Below are 18,996 nucleotides of genomic sequence, written 5' to 3' on the forward strand. Positions count from 1 at the left end.
GATATTTAGAAGTGGAACACACTTAACAGGGTTAAACTCAATCTCTTTCATTCTTTATTTATACTCTGACCTCATTCCAACAAGCCTTTGAGGCACCCTTAGAGATGCACAGAATTCTAATATTCTTAGGTTAAACGTTGCCAGGGGCTCTAACATGGGTAACACGTAATGGTTAGCCTATACAACTTACATAATGACATTAACAAGAGTACTTCTAAAGTTTTCTCGTTCTTTATGTGGAGATTTGCCCTTTGATTTGGAAGTAGATGGTCCAACATAACTATCATCAACTTGGTGGGGTAATTTGCCCTTTTTTCCAAAACGTTCCATGTATTCAGCTTAAATTAAAACAAAAAAAAAAGCACAATTATTCATCTAAAAGGTAAGCTAAAGCATTTCACATGCTTAAAATAAGATGCTAAATCACCTTTTAATAAAAAATTACATTATCAAGTAATCCTAAGTATAATTTTTTTTTTTTACTATCAGGAGGTTAAACTACTCCTCTTTTGTATCATCATAACTAGAAACATCTATTTCAAGAATATTCCACTGATTTATATTTTGATTAATATACTAATAAAATTTTCTATTATATTTACATATGATTCTCTAAAAGTGAACATTAAAATTATGATAAAAACAGGATACAAAACTATTTGAGAAATTTTAAAGAACCATGACAAAAAGTTAATATTAACTGTAATCAATCTGATAAACACTACATTTAATGAGTCAAAATAATAAAAACATTAAAATGACTAATTTGGAAGTCATGTTCACAATTTATTAAAACCCACAAAAAATTTTAAAAAGAAATATAATTTATTAAAATCTCTCTTATAAAAATCTCAGTCTTTGATGTAGAGGCAAATTCTGACCACAATAAATAAACGTTTTAGTATCAACAACCCAATTCCTAAAATATCAGCTCTTATAGCATTTACAACAGCCTAAAATAACTGAGAACTACAATCAATTATTTTCTGAGGGAAGATGTATTGGGAAAATTTTTTTCTACTTGACATTAATGTCATTCAGGTTTTGTACTTCTATTACACTATTAACTAAATATTGTCTGGTCTCTCTCTACAAATTATCCTTAAATCTAATTTAGAATATTGAAGTTCTTACCATGGGACTGTTCATTTTTAACACTAAATGGTTCTGGACTCTCATCATCCTGCTTTACACTCAAATGGAATGATGGAGCTGCCTGCTGCCAGTGGGGCTTTGTACTCACCTAAAATACAAAATTTAAATAGCATTAACAAACAATATCAGAAAAAAACCTTTTTCCATGAAATGCACGAGTGTTTATAAACACAGACATTTTCTCAAACAGATCAGAACATCTGGATAGAAAATACTCAACAGTAGATCTTATTCAAGCCTGTGAATGGTCATGGTGTGCACCATTTGGGGGACATTAACAAAAGTCCTGCTGTTGGTTGGATGTGAATGCCTGTTACCTAAAACCAGGGTCTTCATTCTAGAGAGGCTACTCCTCATCCCCAGATATTGTCAAGTGTCTTTAAACCTTCTATTTTAATGAGAAGTGCTCTCTGCTGGTCTCCTCTGCATTCCAGCTCCAAAAGGTCTTCCTGTTCTCATGGCTGTAAACCACCCTAGATTGCTCTGACAACTCACAAATGTATTCCATTGTTTCAGGCAGGGGTGACAAATTATTATACATACACAATTTTGGCAGGTGTCATAAAAAGGGAGAAGGCTAATGATGATAGGTTCCTGGCACTCAGGCTCCATGTTGGGAAACAACAGTGTGTGGTGAGGACTGTGGCAGAGGAGAGAGCACCTTCATCTTCTAAAAACGCAATGACTAATTAGCTCAAGCCAATTATTGCAATACCAGAACACAAACCTACTGTTGCTGAAGCCTATGGTTCTTCAACAAACCCAGACAGTCGGATTTTAAAGTAAAATCTATATATTTTTAGCACAATTTAGTCTGTCTCTCCCTTTCAAATCCAAACCAACTTAAAAGTCCATGTCTGTACTGGCTTCTCTTTCTGCCTAGTTTTACTCTCCCTAATCTCTTACTTCCACTTCCCTAATAAACTACCTGTACACAAGTCCTTATTTTAGTTACCTCTTACACAGGAAAATAGGATAAGAAAACATGTAAGACAGTGCTCTTCCATTTTCCACCCGCCCTTCCCATTTCTCAACTCTCGTCTTGCTCCATAAAAGTTTTAAAACTCATAGAAGCGCTACGAGGAGTTGTACAGAAAGGGTGAGAATCAGGTCACAGAGGCTGGGAGCCACCAGTGCCAGATCATTCTTGATTTCAACTACAGGGGTCACCTCTAGAAGCCTGAAGTCTGTAAAGAAAATCACTCCAGGTCGTAATTACTGCTGGAGAACTTCTATCCAGGTACAAACCTTAATACTGTATTCAAATAAAAGTAGTTTTAAAAAAATAATCCATAGCTCATTTTCTAAATATCTGTTGAAAATATGATTTCCCTTAAAACCCATAAGACTCAAAGAATGCTGAGGAAAAATTGCAAGACACAGCCAAATATGAATACAAAACCAGGTTTACATCAGTCAATAAAAGCATTTTAGATGATTATATGCTTCGCCCACAAGCAAGAATTATTATGCGTCTCAGCCATAGATATTCGATAAGAAAATTTAAATTAAGTTTATATTTCTACATCTGTAAACTAACAATCTGCAACAAACTAAAAAATGTCTATTCCATTTCAGTTTTTTATCTTTTACACTAGAAAATTAAGAGGGATTTTGCAGAACTAGAGAAAACATGCTATGGCTCGATTCTGCAGGCATTTTACAATAATTTGCCATTATCAATAAAAGCATATTTTCAATTAAGATTTGTATTTTTAAATGTTCAATATAATTAATCTAACAATGTTAGTTCAAGTTTCCTAAGCGAAACTGTCCTTCATTTCAAATTATCAGTAATATTCTCTGTACAAAGCAACACAAATTCAATTCTATAGTTTGTTCTCAGCTTTTAAAATATCTTTCAAAGCAAATAATGCTTTGGATGAACCCTGAAGACATTATGTTAAGTGAAATAAGCCAGGCATAAAAGGACAAATATTGTATGATTCCACCAATATGAAATACCTAGAGTAGTCAAATACATAGAGACAAGAAGTAGAATGGTGGTTTGCCAGGAGGTGGGGGAGGGGAAAATGGGGAGTCATTGTTTAACGGACAGGGTTGCTGTTTAGTCAGATGAAAAGAGTTCTGGAGATGAGTGGTAGTAATAATTATACAACAATGTGAATGTACTGAATGTCACTGAATACTTAAAAATGGTTAAAATGGTAAATTTTATGTTATGTATATTTTATCAATTTTTTTAAAAAATAATAATATTTGCATTGACCCTCCCCTTAAATTTAACTTTCAGGAGTCACAAGACTGTAACTTGGTGGCATTAAACTCCACATAATTACTAGACAATAAATTTTATTACATTAAAATCTAACTTGTACAGGGCTTTATCAACTGAAAATGTCTATTAACTGCCTCTTCCACAAGACAATGACACTTTATAGTCAAAATAATGAAAAAAGATTCCAAAATCTAAGAAATATTTTGTAGTACAGCATTTTTCTGCTGGAAGACCCATCTCCTTGAAGATCATCAAATCAACTCAGCTCATTTTCAAACTCAGAAACTGAGGCTCAAGAGGTAAGTGACTCCCCAAAGGGCACAGAGCCATTAGAGGCAAAGCTTTACCCCAAGCCCTTTTTTATTTACTCCAACGCTAATACTCCTTTTGCTAACCAATCTTGGCAAGTCGTTCATTCAGAATACTGAAATATTCTACATATACAGGTAATTATAGCTTATGGTTACTTTACTAAGATAGTTATTTGTCCTAATATGCACACCTCATAGAATTTCTCCATCAGAAAAGAATCAAATGGAGCAGGAATTTGCTTACTTATTTTCAAGTTAGAAAACTAATAAACATTTTTTGAAGCACAAAAATTCAATGAGAATATATTTGGATAAGTTACCATAGACAGCTGTGGTAAAGCTCTTGCTGGTGCCTTGAACTTTTCTTTGCTGGCTAATTTCTCCTGTGTGAAAAATATGAAGGGGAAAAAAGTGTTTACTCTGTTAGTGCTAAAATTGATTCACTGAACCAAATTTTACAGAAAGACTATTTAAAAAGTACATATTATCCAACATATTCAAAGATAAACTTTACTGCTTTTTAAATTCTCAGGTTTGTCTCAGAATTGTTTTCTTTAGAGCAAGAAAATAAAGGAAAATTATATCCAGCAATACTTATCAGAAAGCTTTAAAAAGTATGCAAAACCGGCCAGGCGCGGTGGCTGTAATCCCAGCACTCTGGGAGGCTGAGGTGGGCGGATCACAAGGTCAGGAGATCGAGACCATCCTGGCTAACATGGTGAAACCCCGTCTCTACTAAAAATACAAAAAATTAGCCGGGCGTGGTGGTGGGTGCCTGTAGTCCCAGCTACTTGGGAGACTGAGGCAGGAGAATGGCGTGAACCCAGGAGGCGGAGGTTGCAGTGAGCAGAGATCGCACCACTGCACTCCAGCCTGGGCGACAGAGCAACACTCTGTCTCAAGAAAAAAAAATAAATAAAAAATAACAAGTTCTACCTAGGAACTACTGACACTCACCAATCAAAACTCGCCAGCTCTTGTAAGACACTGCCAGTGCCAATAAACTTTCTTTCAGAACAACTTGTATAACCTCCTCTTTCCCCAATTAAACCCTAATCATTTAACTTGTTCTCCAGACATACTGGAGGCCACCCTAGTCTGTACGTAAGTCCTGGATTGCAATCTCACTTCCTGTATATTATTCTCAAATAAAACCTTTTTACTTGTATGCTTATATTGCAAGTTGACAGCAACTTTCCACAAGTCTCACTTATACCACAGACAGAGACTTCCTTTCAAACTTTCAGGATCCCAGTAGGTGGTTTTCACCTCCCAGCCCAGACCTGCAGCTCTTCAGCAAATGTCTTTGTCATCCAGTGGGCCACAGCCACATCTCCCATGAGGTCTGAATCTAAGGCTTTGGGGAAGGGACGGCTCTTCCAAGTTTGTTCCTTGAGCACTCTCTCTCAGACCTAGAGGGAGTGGCTGCTCCTTATATCTGCTATTCCTCTATTCTTCAGGGCTGTGCTGTCCAAAACAGTATGCACTAGCCCCCTGTAACTACCAAACACTTGAAATGCGGCTCCTCTGAAGTGAGATGTGTTTAAGTTTAAAATATGTACTAGATGTTGAAGACTTAGTACAAAACACAAAGAATGTAAATTATCAATGTTTATATATTGATTAGAGCATATTTTATGTTGATTACCATATGTGTTCCACATTGTTCTAAGAAGCTTACATGAATTAACACCTTTAATATTCTATACGCTGTGGGGTAAATACTGTTGTACCACTTTTATGCCTATTACGTAGATAAGAAATCATGTAGTCTCTGCCTTCACAAAGCACACAGTCCAGTTAATATTAAAGACCATGTGCTTCCATCTAGGACAGGATGTGGAGCAGAGTATTCTAAGAACGTTTCAAAAAGAAAAAGGGTGGAGCTAAGCCTTAAAGCATACCTGGATCTCCACAGAGAAGGACAGCAAAGAGCTTACTGAAGTCAGAGGGCGCATCAAGAATTGGAGTCTAAATGTCAATGGCAGGCTTTGAGGCTATGTTGGAGTGGATGGGGAAGGTAATCCATTCCCTAACTCAACAATGGTTCACCAGCTCCTACCATGTGCTGGGCTCATAGACTAAGTCATAGGACTACAGACTAAGATACCTAGTCCATAGTCGTGGAAAGGACTAAGTCCCTCTGCTTATGGAGTACACATTCTAGAGGAGGTACAGTTATTTCAGAACAGATCTATAACATAATCTCAGAAACTAGTATGTACAATGAAGAATAATAAAACAGTGTGAAGGAACAGAGAGGGAAGGAGTGGAAAAGTGCTAGGTAGATGGAGTAGTAAGACCCTCTCTGCAGAGGTTATGTTTGAATAGGAACCTGAATAAAAGGTAGGGGAAGAACAAACTAGAGCTAGACAAGTGGGTGCTGTTATATTAAGGAGGACATGGGTTTCAGGGCTTGACTGGCCAGGCTGGCAATAGAGAGCCACTGCAGTCTCCTTTTAGGGTGAACTTTAGTCTCAGTTTGCGGAAGACAGTCTCAGTTTACACCTTTAGTCTCAGTTTGCCCAAGCATAACTAGTAGAACTTTCGCTCTCAATGGCATCTTAGTTTAGATGATAAATTATAATGCTATCCTGTTTATGATGTAGAGACATACAAAAGCTATTTCATAAATGGTTCTGATGATACAAACAGGATACATGAGAAGCAGGGGACTAGAGTCAGCAGTGAGGCTAGTTTAGCAGGTTTTTAAGAATAATATAGGCAACAGGAGACATGGGCCTGGATTTACAGAAAATGCTGGTAACAAAAGGTCACCTCTACCTCTCAAAGGCACTGCTCTGATCATACTGCTCCCCTGTTCAGAAACATTTTAAAGCCCCCTGTTGAAGTAGGCACAACTCTTCTTGGTGTCCAAAGCCTTCCTCAACATACTCCAAACTATTTTCCAGCTTCTCTTAGTTACTTTGTAGCCATATGATTTGTGTGGCTAGTGAAATGTGAGCACAACAGGAAACACAGTTAAGTGCTAGAGGGACAGGCAGTTAAGAGCTAGAGGGACAGGGAGTTAAGAGCTGGTGTGCTTCCTCCATCACTATCTCACACCCATGAAGCCCATGTGTTCCCACTGGCATAGCTATAAGATGCAGCGCTACCTGACCCTCGTCAGACTTCATGTGAGCAAGGCCTAATCTTTGTTGGGTTAAGTCTCTGAGATTTCGACTTCCATTTGTTTTGTCAGATAGTATTAATTACCCTGTCAGAGCCACCAATAGGTTCCAAAATATCTCCCTGTTAAAATCTAGCCCTTTAAGACCAAAATCGAAAAAGTTTACATTTCATTTCTTAACTCCAACTGTAAGTAATCTCCTTTGAAGATGCATAGCATTCTTTATTGTTTAAATTATTTTTGGCTGGGTGTGATGGCTCATGCCTGTAATCCTAGCACTTTGGGAGGCAAAGGGGAGCGGAGTGCTTGAGCTCAGGAGTTCAAGACCAGCCTGGGCAACATGGTGAAACTCCATCTCTACCAAAACAGATACACAAAAATAACCTGGGTATGGTGGTGCCTGTGGTCCCGGTTACTCAGGAGGCTGAGGAGGGAGGATTGCTTGAGCACAGGAGGTGGAGGTTGCCATGAGCCAAGACTGCACTACTGCACTCCAGCCTGGGCAACAGAGAGACACCTGTCTTTAAATAAATAAAATATATTCTGATATATGAATTATGTGTACACCTACCTATACTGTTCTCCTAACCCCTCACCCCACCCCACCTCCACCTACTAAATCAGTCTTATAGAGATGAGTGACATGGTTTGGCTGTGTCCCAACCCAAATCTCATCTTGAATTATAGTTCCCATAATCCCTATGTGTCATGGGAGGGACCTGGGTGGGAGGTAATTGAATCATGGGAGCAGTTTCCCCCATGCTAGTCTTGTGATAGTGAGTTCTCACAAAATCTGATGGTTTTATAAGGGGCTTCCCCTTCACTTGGCTCTCATTCTTCTCCCTCTTGTCTCCTGCCACCATGTGAAGAAGAAAGTTGCTTCCCTTTCCACGATGTTTGTAAGTTTCCTGAGGCCTCCCCAGCCATGTGGAACTGTGAGTCAACTAAAGCTCTTCTCTTCACAAATTACCCAGTTTCGGGTATTTCTTCATAGCAGCATGAGAAGGAACTAATACAATGGGAAAACTGACTTTAAAGTCATTTTAGCTTTATCTTAGAAAATCATAAAATGGTGAGGCTGGGCACAATGGCTCACAGCTGTAATCCCAGCACTTTTGGAAAGCCAAGGCAGGAGGATCACTAGAGCCCAGGAGTTCAAGACCAGCCTGGGCAACATGGTGAAACCCTGTCTCTACCAAAAATACAAAAATTAGCTAGGCGTGGTGACCCATGCCTGTGGTCCCAGCTACTGGTGAGGCTCACATAAGCCCAGGAGGTAGAGGCTATAGTGAGCCATGATCACACCACTGCACTCCAGCCTGGACAACACAGCAAGACCTCCTTGTCTCAAAAAAAAATTACAAAATGGTTAACCATGCCCTAAAAAATGGATAACTAAAGATAAGAAAAGAAAAGAAAGGAAAAGAAAAGGAAAGAGTGCAATGAGCTTCAGACAGTACTTTCTGAAATACAAGCACCAGATTAGGGGAACGTTTCACACATATACAATGCTGTAACCCAAATGGTTCTGGTTTCTACAATTCCCACTGGGCTACACAATGGGAAGGGAAATATGAGCACAACATTTTCAAGCTAACAGGTGCAATAGGTGTTCTCAGAGTTGAAGCCTTCCCTTTGGGGAGAATGAGGGTGTGGCAAAGGCCTGAGAAGAATGCAGTTATAGATGACAGAGAGGAATGGCTCTGGGATGTCTAGTCCAAGTGCCCTGGAATTTTCACATCAGGGACAGAGGTAATTCGAATGACATCTATTGTCCTGGAGTCACTACAAATATCCAAAACACCCTATGTAACCCAAGCCTCCTATACAACAACCCCATCACTGCCACCACCCTGACTTTTTAAGATCTCTGCATCATCCATGCTGTTGCTGAGCTATTTCTCCAAGTCTCACCATCACTCTAGGTGAAGAAGGGTGGTGAGGACCTTAATGTTTTCTTCTTACATTGCAGTGCGGAATATGTATCTTATAGAATATTTTACAAATAGTGCTTCTCTAGCTAACCAAGACAAGCAGCCACACATATGTCAGAAAAATCATCTGGCAAATGATGCCTCACATCCTGCTGGCCTCACCTTGGATTCCAGACATGGCTGCAGTAAACAGTTCTGTGCTAGCTTCTCACATCAAGAAAATATCTTTTGTGGCCGGGCGCAGTGGTTCACGCCTGTAATCCCAGCACTTTGGGAGGCCGAGGCGGGCGGATTACCTGAGGTCAGGGGTTCGAGACCAGCCTGGCCAACATGGTGAAACCACATCTCTACTAAAAATACAAAAATTAGGCAGGCGTGGTGGCATACACCTGTAATCCCAGCTACTCAGGAGGCTGAGACAGGAGAATTGCTTGAGCCCGGGAGGCGGAGGTTGCAGTGAGCCAAGATCATGCCACTGCACTCTGTCTGAAAAAAAAAAAAAAAAGAAAAAAGAAATGTTTTTTCTTTTCTGCAGGGGGAATCCTCTAATGCTACAGTATGGGACTCTAGGAAGAGCCCACTCTGCTCACACACATGAGCAGCCAGAAGAGGATGGGAGTCAACATCCCCAGGAACAATCTTTCACCAATACAGGATGAAAGATGACAGATAAATGCTATTCCTTGACCCTCCTCAGGTGATCAATTCCAGGAAGCATTCTATAAGCTCAGAGGTCATGGCAGGACATACCAGTTGCCTACTGTGCTAATCAACTTGATAGCCCATGGTTGTGTGGCCTTTCCTTCTTCCTACTTTTACTCTCCTCAGTCTCTTATTATTGCGTCTCAAATACACTACCTGCACACAAGTCCTTGTTTCAGATAACTTGTGCACAGGAAAATAGGCTAGGAAAACATGTAAGTCAGTGCTCTTTCATCTTTCCATTTGCTCTTTCATTGTTCAACTCTAATCTTGTTCCATAAAAGATTTAAGACTTGTGGGAGGGATATGAATGAGGTGTGCAGAAAGGGTGAGAATCAGGTCACCAGCTCACAGGGGCTGAGAGCCACCAGTGCCAGTTTCAACTACAGGGTTCACCTCTAGAAGCCCGAAGGTCCGTAATTAAAATCATTCTATGTCTTAATTACTGCGGAAGAACTTATAGCCAGGAACAAACTTTAATATTCAAATAAAAATTTTTAAATAAATGAATGTTTTTAAATACCTCTTAAAAATCTAATTTCTTTTAAAAGACATAAAACTCAAAGGATACGGAAGGAAAATTACAAGAGCCAGTCAAACATGAGCACAATATAAGGTTTTAAATCAGCCAACGAAAGCATTTTAGACAATTACATGCCTTGCTGACTAGAAGAGATTATTCAACTCAGCCACTGAATATTTATTCAGCAAGTAAATTTAAATTTAACACGCCAAAAAAGCTAATACCTTTTTTCAATTTTAGAATTTGTCAAATTTTTTAAAAGAGAAAATGTCTATTTCATTTCAGGTTTACTTATAAACTAGAAACAAGATAAATATTTGCAGAACTAAAAAAAATGCTTTGATTCTATTTTGTAGAACTTTTGGTAATCTTGGTATTATTAATATGAATAAGTACACAATTAAAACATGTACTTGAAATGTCCAAGATCATACACTTAAAATTTTCATCCAAGTTTTTTTATTTCAAAACATTAGGAATCAACTCTGCATAAAGCAGTCCAAATTCCATTACACAGTTCATGCTGAGCTCTTAAAATGTTTCAAAACAATTAATATTTGAATTGAAACTCCACTTAAACTCAACTTCTGTAGAAGTTATAATAGTTTAACTCAACCGCATTAAACTCAACATACCTAGACAGCAAATTTTATTCTGTAAAATCTAACCTGGACCCAACCATCCTGTACATACCTGAAAATTACAGCCTATAGTTATTTTATTGTTATTATTCTTCCTATGTACCTCACAGAATTCCTCCATCAGAAAAGAATCAAATGGAATTTAAAATTGTATAAAATTTAAAATCAGAAATTCAGTAACTTACTTTCAAGCTTGAAAAGTAGTAAACAAACATTATCATAAAGGAATGAAGTATGATGGTATATTGGTAAATTACCATAGACAGCTGTGGTAGAAATCTTACTGGTTTCTTGGATTTTTCTTTGCTGGCCGATTTATCCTGTATGAAAAACATGAAAAAACAAAACTGTTTACTCCGTTAATGCTAAAATTGATTCACTCAACCAAATTTTACAGTGTTTATTGTAAGCATACATCATCCAAAATATTCTAAAACATACTGTACAAATGGCATGATCTTATATACTGAAAATCTTAAATAATTCATCAAAAAATATTAAAGCTAGTCAATGAGTTCTTGTATCCAGGTAGGTTGCAGGATACAAGATCAACACACAAACATCAAATATATATAGGATACGCCAGGAGGGCGATGCATCCCAATTCCACAGGGAGAGGACATGGAAGCTCCGCACCCAGGACTCTCCCAGGCCTATCCCCATGTGTCTCTCCACGTGTTTTTTCCTGATTTGTATCCCTTATAATAAAACAGTAATAATACATATTCTAAAAATCAATTGTATTTAATATAATTGTATTTAATACAAAATTGAAATTGAGACAATTCCATTTACAATTGCATGAAATAGAATAAAAGACTTAGGAATAAATTTAACAAAAGTGTAAGACCTATACAATGAAACCATAAAACATTATTGAAAAAAATTAAAGTTCTTGATAAATAAAAGGACAACCCATGTTCATGGATTGGGAGACTAATATTGTTAAGATGCAATACACCCTGAAAATATTCTACAGATGGAACATAATCCCTATCAAAATCCCAGCTTCCCTTCTTGTAGAAATTAACAAATTGATCATAAAATTAACATGGAAATGTATCAAGAAGAATCAAACAATCTTGAAAAAGAGGAACAAATTGGCAGACTCACACTTCGAGATTTTACGACTTACTACAAAACTACAGTAATAAAGACTGCATTGCTCTAGCATAAGGATAAACAGAGATCAAGGGAATAGAATTAGGAGTTCAGAAATAAACCCAGACATTTATGGGCAATTGATTTTTCATGAGGGTTCCAAGACAATTTAATGGAGAATTGGGCATATCTTCTGGAAGTCTGTCTGAATCTAATTTATTCAAAACTTACTTGGCCCCACCTCCCTTCTCTATAACTAAAACTTCAATTTTTTTTTTCCTAGAATGGTCTACTTCCTAAGGTGAATATGTATTCTGGTTTTTCCCCCCGCAAGCTGCCATAAGTAACATTTGAACCTCTTAGCAGTAACCTTAAGAGAAAGGGGCTAATCTCCTTTGCAGTAGAGAATAATTCCATGGTAGAAGTTTTGTCTAAGTGAGAGGAAGCATTTGTTGAAAATGACAATTTGATCTATAAAGCAGATAATATGAGTTGTGCTTCTGGCCAGTTGTCAATTTATTGCCTCAGCTCCAAATCTGCCTTTTTTGCCCTCCTTTGGGATATGTCACAGGACATTATAACATTTCTCCTTTGACAACCAGCATATTATCATGGGTGCCAAGAAGCACTGTAAGAGGAAGAGGCTTTCTTCCTGATTCCAGTGCTTTTTCTCATAGCTCCCATGGTGTGGCTGCCAGCAGTCAGCAACCTTGTCAATCTGTGGTGTGAGGCTAACTCAGAGGCAGACACCCTCCAGCAAGTTTCGCCAGCATCCCTGTGGGCAGCTTTCCACAAGTTTCACTTACATCACAGAGGGAGACTTCCTTGCAAACTTTCAGGATCCCAGCAGGTAGTTTTCTCCTCCTAGCCCAGACCTGCATCTCCTCAGCAAATGTTTGTCCACCCACTGGGCCACAGCCACACCTTCTCCCATGAGGTCTTAAATCTAAAGGCTTTGGGGAAGGGATGGCTCTTCTCTTCGAGCAGAGAGTCTCTGCTCTCTTAACATTCTGGTTAATATTAAACCTATGTTTCTGGCTGGGCGCAGTGGCTCATGCCTGTAATCCCAGCACTTTGGGAGGCCGAGGTGGGCGGATCACGAGGTCAGGAGATCGAAACCATCCTGGCTAACACGGTGAAACCCCGTCCGTACTAAAAATACAAAAAACAATTAGCCGGGTGTGGTGGCAGGCGCCTGTAGTCCTAGCTACTCAGGAGGCTGAGGCAGGAGAATGGTGTGAACCCAGGAGGCAGAGCTTGCAGTGAGCCAAGATTGAGCCACTGCACTCCAGCCTGGGCAACAGAGAGAGACACTGTCTCAAAAAAAAGAAAAACAAAAACAAACAAACAAAAAAACTACGTTTCCATTCAATAAAGAGAGATGGCTTGGAGCAGAGTATTCAAAATATCTACTTGCAGTCTGTCCATTATCCCCCAAACTCTCTTTTCCAAAATAATGAGGTTTATTTTCAATGTATATGTCCTCCATTCACAGATAATCTCTTTTCTGTCTCAGTCTAAAGATTTTCTGCTTATCTCTGGTGTTGTTTCCCTTATAGAGGCCAAGGTGGTATTTACTTTTATTTCTATCACTTGGCCTTTAATACATTTTTCAGTCAACTACTAAAGGACATTGTTTTTGCTGCAGCAATTTGAAACTCTCTCTAATGTGCCTTTTGTTCTCTCCCTATTATTTTCACTAGTATGCAAACATGTTAAAATCCCATCAGAAAAAGTATCAGCCTTAATCCTATATTCCCTCTAGCAATTGCCCGATTTTTCTGCTCCCAATTTCTCCAGAATGTTCTCCAGTGAGGTATTTATTCCTTGCATACCACTCTCATCAAGAGCTCTGATTACCTCCACAATGCCAAGTCCTGTGGTAAATTCTCAGGCCTCATTTTACTCAATCTTTTAACAGTATTTTGACACAGTTGATCACTGTCTCCTTCCTGAATACTGTCTTCACTCAATTTCCAGAATGATTATATATTTTATACTCTTCCTAACTCTGTGAACACTTAAACTTTTCATTGCCAATTCATTCTCATTTTTTAAAGTTCATTTTTAAATTTACAAATAAAAATTGTATACATTTATGGTATACAATGTGGTGTTTTGATACATGTATAAATCGTAGAATGGCTAAATCAAGCTAATTAACATATGCATTACCCCACATACTTATTTTTTGTGGTACGAGCACTTAAAATCTACTCTAATAGCAGTTTTCAAGGATATATTTTTATGAAGTCTAGTCATCATGATGTATAATAGATCTCTTGATCTTATTTCTCCTGTTCCTTCTCATTTTCTGATCTTCGTGTGACAGACATCCCTCAATCCTCAGGTATGTTTCCTTTCTAATTGACCCCATCCAGCCCAAATATTTTAAATATTACCCCATATACTGGAATCTCCCAAATTTATCTCCCCCGTATTAACCTTTATCCTAAGTTCCCCACTCCTATATTTGATTTTTGCTCTCTCTACTCAGAGGTCAAATAGACATCTCTAACTTAATGTGTCCAAAATATTGTTTGATCAATAAACTCCCACAAACCCTACCAGAACTTCCCCATATTTTCTTAAACTCAGTAAATGGCATCACCATTAACACCATTATTTAAGCTAAAATCCCTGGTACCATCCTTGATTCCTCCCTTTTTCTCATATCACACATTTAATTCAGTAGTAAACCCTTTGAGCTTTACCTAGAACATATATCCTGGATCCAACATCTCACAATATCCATTATTACTGTAACCATGGTCTAAGGAACTGGAAAGAAAGTGGAGAGTGGAAAGAGAGATCGGGGTGGAGAAAAAGAAAGAATGGGGGATCAAGAAAGAACGGGAAGAGGAAAGGAGACAGAATCCTTATTATATCATGTGTCCATTACATACCTGAATCTATTCTGATGTCCATTCTCTTGGATTTCCCAGTTCAGTAAACCATAAAAAATCTGTTTTATTTTTTGAAGTTTGAGTTCCATCGTACTTACTTACAATAAAAAGAGCTTCTACTCTTGGTCATCAGTCTCAGTGACTTAAAAATATACATGTGACTAAATCTACCTAACAGCCTAGTCTCTTAGTTACTTAACCTCCTCATCTGTAACCTTCTCTTCCACTTCATCTCTGTCAATGACTTTCATGGCAACCCCTCTAAGATCTTATCACTAAATATGGCAGCTCTTGTGAAATCTTGCTTTTAAAACATTCTTTTCTCTGACCACCACATCCTTTGCTCCCAGCAAGTATGATATGATGCCCTCCTATATTTCTTTGTTTTGACTGAGACCTCTAATATCTAAGCTCCTTCTCAGTATCCATCTGCTCCCTCATATCTTCTCTTCCTCCTTGCCCAATTTAGATTCTACAGTCCATAGTCACAACTACACCCTATCAAATACCCTCAACTCCCTCTGGCACATACTTAACTAAACCATAATCCCATTGGAATTCAACTACTTACCTTCTCTATGCTTGTACCCAAGTAGGTATGTATTACTGAGGAAAATCACATCTCCAGTCCTATTGGATTCACTTTAAGTGCATGATTAGTAATCTCAGACATTGAAAACTTTTGAGATTTTCTAATAAATTTGGTATCCTAAGTTTTGTAATGACCTATCTCCAGAGTTTCTCACACATCATCATTTTAGTACTTGAGAATGCCTCCATCTTCCTGTAACTAAATCTACAGACCTACTTACGATCACACCTTCATTGTTCTTCTATCCTTCATCTACAAGCAGTTGGGGACACTATCGCCCCTACGATCACAGGCCAATCCCTCCATCTCCTTTCACTTTATTGAAGACAGTGCTTTTCTGATAATCCTCCTTCTTCCTTGAATTAGCAATGCCTCCCTTTATGCTACAGAACTCCCATCAACATTCAAATAAAGAATGTTTACTTTTATTTTTGTTTTAATGTTATATTTAATCAACATTTGCTGTTAATGGCAGCATGGTTTTGTTTTTGTTTTTTGTTTGTTTGACACAGAGTCTCATTCCATCACCCAGGGTGTAGTGCAGTGGCGCAATCTCGGCTCACTGCAACCTCCACCTCCTGGGTTCAAGCCATTCTCCTGCCTAAGCCTCCCGAGTAGCTAGGATTACAGGCGTGTGCCACCACACTGGCTAATTTTTGTATTTTGAGTACAGATGGGGTTTCGCTACGTTAGCCAGGCTGGTCTCGAACTCCTGACCTCAGGTGATCCACCCACCTCAGCCTCCCAAAGTGCTGGGATTACAGGCATAAGCCACCACGCCTGGCCAGGTTGGTTCTTTTCAGACACTTTCCTCCTAGGATCTACAGTTTGCTTCTATTATCCACTACGGAAGGCATGTGCTGATACTGTGGTTGGATCGTTAATTCTTGCCATCATGTGACCTGCTGCCACTAGAACTGCAGAATGTTTCTAACTAGTTCAACATATTGGGTATCAGGGAGTGGCTTCCTCTGATTCCCAGGTTGCAGGAATTTCTTAATTCTGGGGATGTTGCTGATTCCTGTTTAAAACGCCTTCAACAGAGGGAAGTCAGAAAGAACAGAAGCATTGAGTTCTTCTACTATTAGAACAGCTTCTAACAGTTGTATGTCTGCCCAACTGAATTTGTTGCCAACAAGAAGATCCTCTCCATGGTCTTTCAAAATCTTTTCAAAGATGGCCAAGTACTGGGTTTTAGCTTTCTTCACAACTGAGCAAGGTTCTCCTCTTTTTCCTCAGTGGGCCAGCGCCATCATCATCATCAGGTCCAGGGTGCCCTCAGCACACATGTTGATCCCGACTCTCTCCTTCAGGTCCTTTCCACAGACATTGTACTTAGCAGCAAGATAGCTGAGGATGGCTGTAGTCAGTGTCAGCATCATTCCATCAATTTCAACCAAAGGCACTTGGCCAAAATGCAGGCGTCTATCCTTCTGCAACTTTTCATATTATTATCTTGTTTCAATAAATTCTTCTTCAAACTCTATTCCAGCTGCAGCCAGCAGCCAGAGGACTGACTCCACCCTGCCCCTGACATGAAAGTAGTAGAGCTTGGGTTTGGCTGCCATGCCTCCTGGCTCAAGATTTTCTGTTCAGCTATCTGGAAGCTCCAAGAATGTTTATTTTTAAAAAGAAAGGAGGCCAGGCGCGGTGGCTCATGCCTGTAATCGCAGCACTTTGGGAGGCTGAGGCAGGCGGATCATAACATCAGGAATTTGAGACCAGCCTGGCCAATATGGTGAAATCCCATCTGTACCAAAAATACAAAAATTAGCTGGGCGTAGTGGCGGGTGCCTGTAGTCCTAGCTACTCAGGAGGCTGAGGCAGGAGAATGGCGTGAACCTTGGGAGGTGGAGGATGCAGTGAGCCAAGATCGTGCCACTGCACTCCAGCCTAGGTGACAGAGTGAGACTCCGTCTCAAAATAAATAAATAAATAAATAAATAAATAAATAATAAATAATAAATAAATAATAAAAAGAAAAACAAAACCTTCAATTGTGCTTTTCACTCCAATTATCACCCAATTAATTTATCTGTTTCCTGTACCAACATTGTCTGTGCAGACTATCTATATTTACTCACGTCTTATTCTCTTTAAAATTAGGAAATATTTCAAACATACAGAAAATAGCATCATGAACACTTATGTATCTTCAACCCAACTCTTTGCCATCCTGGAATTTTGTGTTTATCATTCCTATGCAAATTTTTACTACACTTATTACTACATATGATTGTCAAACAATCTAAGATATTGTTACTACATGATTTTAAATTTTATATAAATGCCATCACACAATTTGTATCCTTCTGCAACATGCTTTTTAATATTACATTTTTGAAATGTATCCCCATTAATACGTTTCTCAATGATTTTCACAGCTGTATAGTACTCTGTGAGCATAGTACAATGTATCCATTCCATTCTCTAGCGAATGAACATTTAACTTATTTCCAATGTTTCTCTATTACAAAAGATGTCTCAGCGAACTCCTTGGGCATGTATTTTAGTATAAACACACACAGTTCTTAGGCATGTATCTCATATATACATACATATGTGTGTATATGTAACATAAATATATATGTGCATCTCTGTTTTGTCCCTTTAATTCCATTGGTTTATTATCCATAAAAAAATTTGTATTATATTGCCTAATTTACTATGATTCCTGATAGGTCTTGATATCTGTAGGGCAATTCCCTCCACTTTACCTTTCTTAAAAATTATCGTAAACAATCTTGACCTTTTTTCTACCATGTGAAATTTAGGATCTACACTGCATGAAATTTTTTAGGACAATGATAGAAACACATTGAATACTGACTCTTCTCTCTTTTGAACACAATGTATTTCTTTACTTATTCAGATTCTGGGAGCATATCCTTCAGAAACATTTTGTAGTAGTCTTCATAAGGGTGTCATATGTCTTTTTTAGACTTATTCTTAGGTATAAATATTTTAAATGAAAAATTCATCATAGGAACTCAACAACTGTTAATCCAACTGATTTATGGACAGGGAACTATGAAGATTGCATCCATTTATAATAATGTCTGTGATGGTTGTGCTCTGCCTCAGATCAATTCTTTACCCTCTTCTTCCTGCTCTGTGCCTGGGAGGCTGAATTCTACAGATGGACATCATCTGTGCCTTCAGTTCTCTGACTTCTAATAGGAATTATCCAAAAAAGGCACCAGGAGGAGACTGAAGAGCAGGAGGGCAGAAAGTTTAGGATATTTGTTTCCTAGTCTTCCCTGTTCCCTGTTGTTCTGATAGTGGCTGAATTCTTCCAGACCTCAGCTCCTGTCAGGAAGCTACCATTCCAAGCGTCTAGCACTCATCAGGGTCTGAGAATAATGTTCAGTTTCAATGACCCATCAGGCCTAGCCATGGTAATGGCATCCTACTGTCCTACTGCTGTTAATCCTTGAGTGTCTCTTCATCCCTCGTGGTTCTCTTAACCTTACCTTTCATGCTTCCAAAGGAAAACTACACTCTAAATTAGCATAAATGAAATTCTCAAGATTAGTTTTTAACCTTACCAACACCTCTACAAATGGTCTTTTTATAAATGTTCTTCAGTTAAGTCCTTTTGAGTATGCCATCTGTTTTCTGTTGGGATCCTGACTAATATAATTTTACATTCTAAAATTAAAATTGCTAAGGAGTCTGGGTCTTCCTTAAATAGCCTGGCTTTGCATTTTGTTTTTACTTCACTGATTTTCACCTACTTGACTGCTGGAAGAGATGTCATAA

General features: G+C 38.4%; 1 protein-coding gene and 1 pseudogene across 11 annotated transcripts in view; both read right to left on the reverse strand.

The window, feature by feature from the left end:
• DNAH7 (dynein axonemal heavy chain 7) overlaps window positions 1–18,996 on the reverse strand; it is a 331,135-nt gene that overhangs the window by 309,459 nt on the left and 2,680 nt on the right. For 10 of the 11 annotated variants that reach the window (XR_922968.4, XM_011511488.4, XM_017004504.3 and 7 more), the window contains exons 2-5: window positions 10,893–10,955; window positions 4,026–4,088; window positions 1,135–1,243; window positions 191–338 (exon numbers count right to left, since the gene is read on the reverse strand). Coding sequence is in view for 10 of the 11 variants with exons in the window: in XM_011511488.4 (XP_011509790.1) it covers window positions 191–338; window positions 1,135–1,243; window positions 4,026–4,088; window positions 10,893–10,955 (383 nt within the window). In the remaining variant the exon portion in view is untranslated. Of the gene's footprint in view, window positions 1–190; window positions 339–1,134; window positions 1,244–4,025; window positions 4,089–8,931; window positions 9,073–10,892; window positions 10,956–18,996 lie in introns of those variants that run through there. The other variant, XM_011511489.3, reaches the window with a different exon arrangement.
• LOC100420572 (glutathione S-transferase alpha 5 pseudogene) lies at window positions 16,185–16,802 on the reverse strand (annotated as a pseudogene).

Source organism: Homo sapiens, chromosome 2, assembly GCF_000001405.40.
Source record: "Homo sapiens chromosome 2, GRCh38.p14 Primary Assembly".
Taxonomy (NCBI): Eukaryota; Metazoa; Chordata; class Mammalia; order Primates; family Hominidae; genus Homo; species Homo sapiens.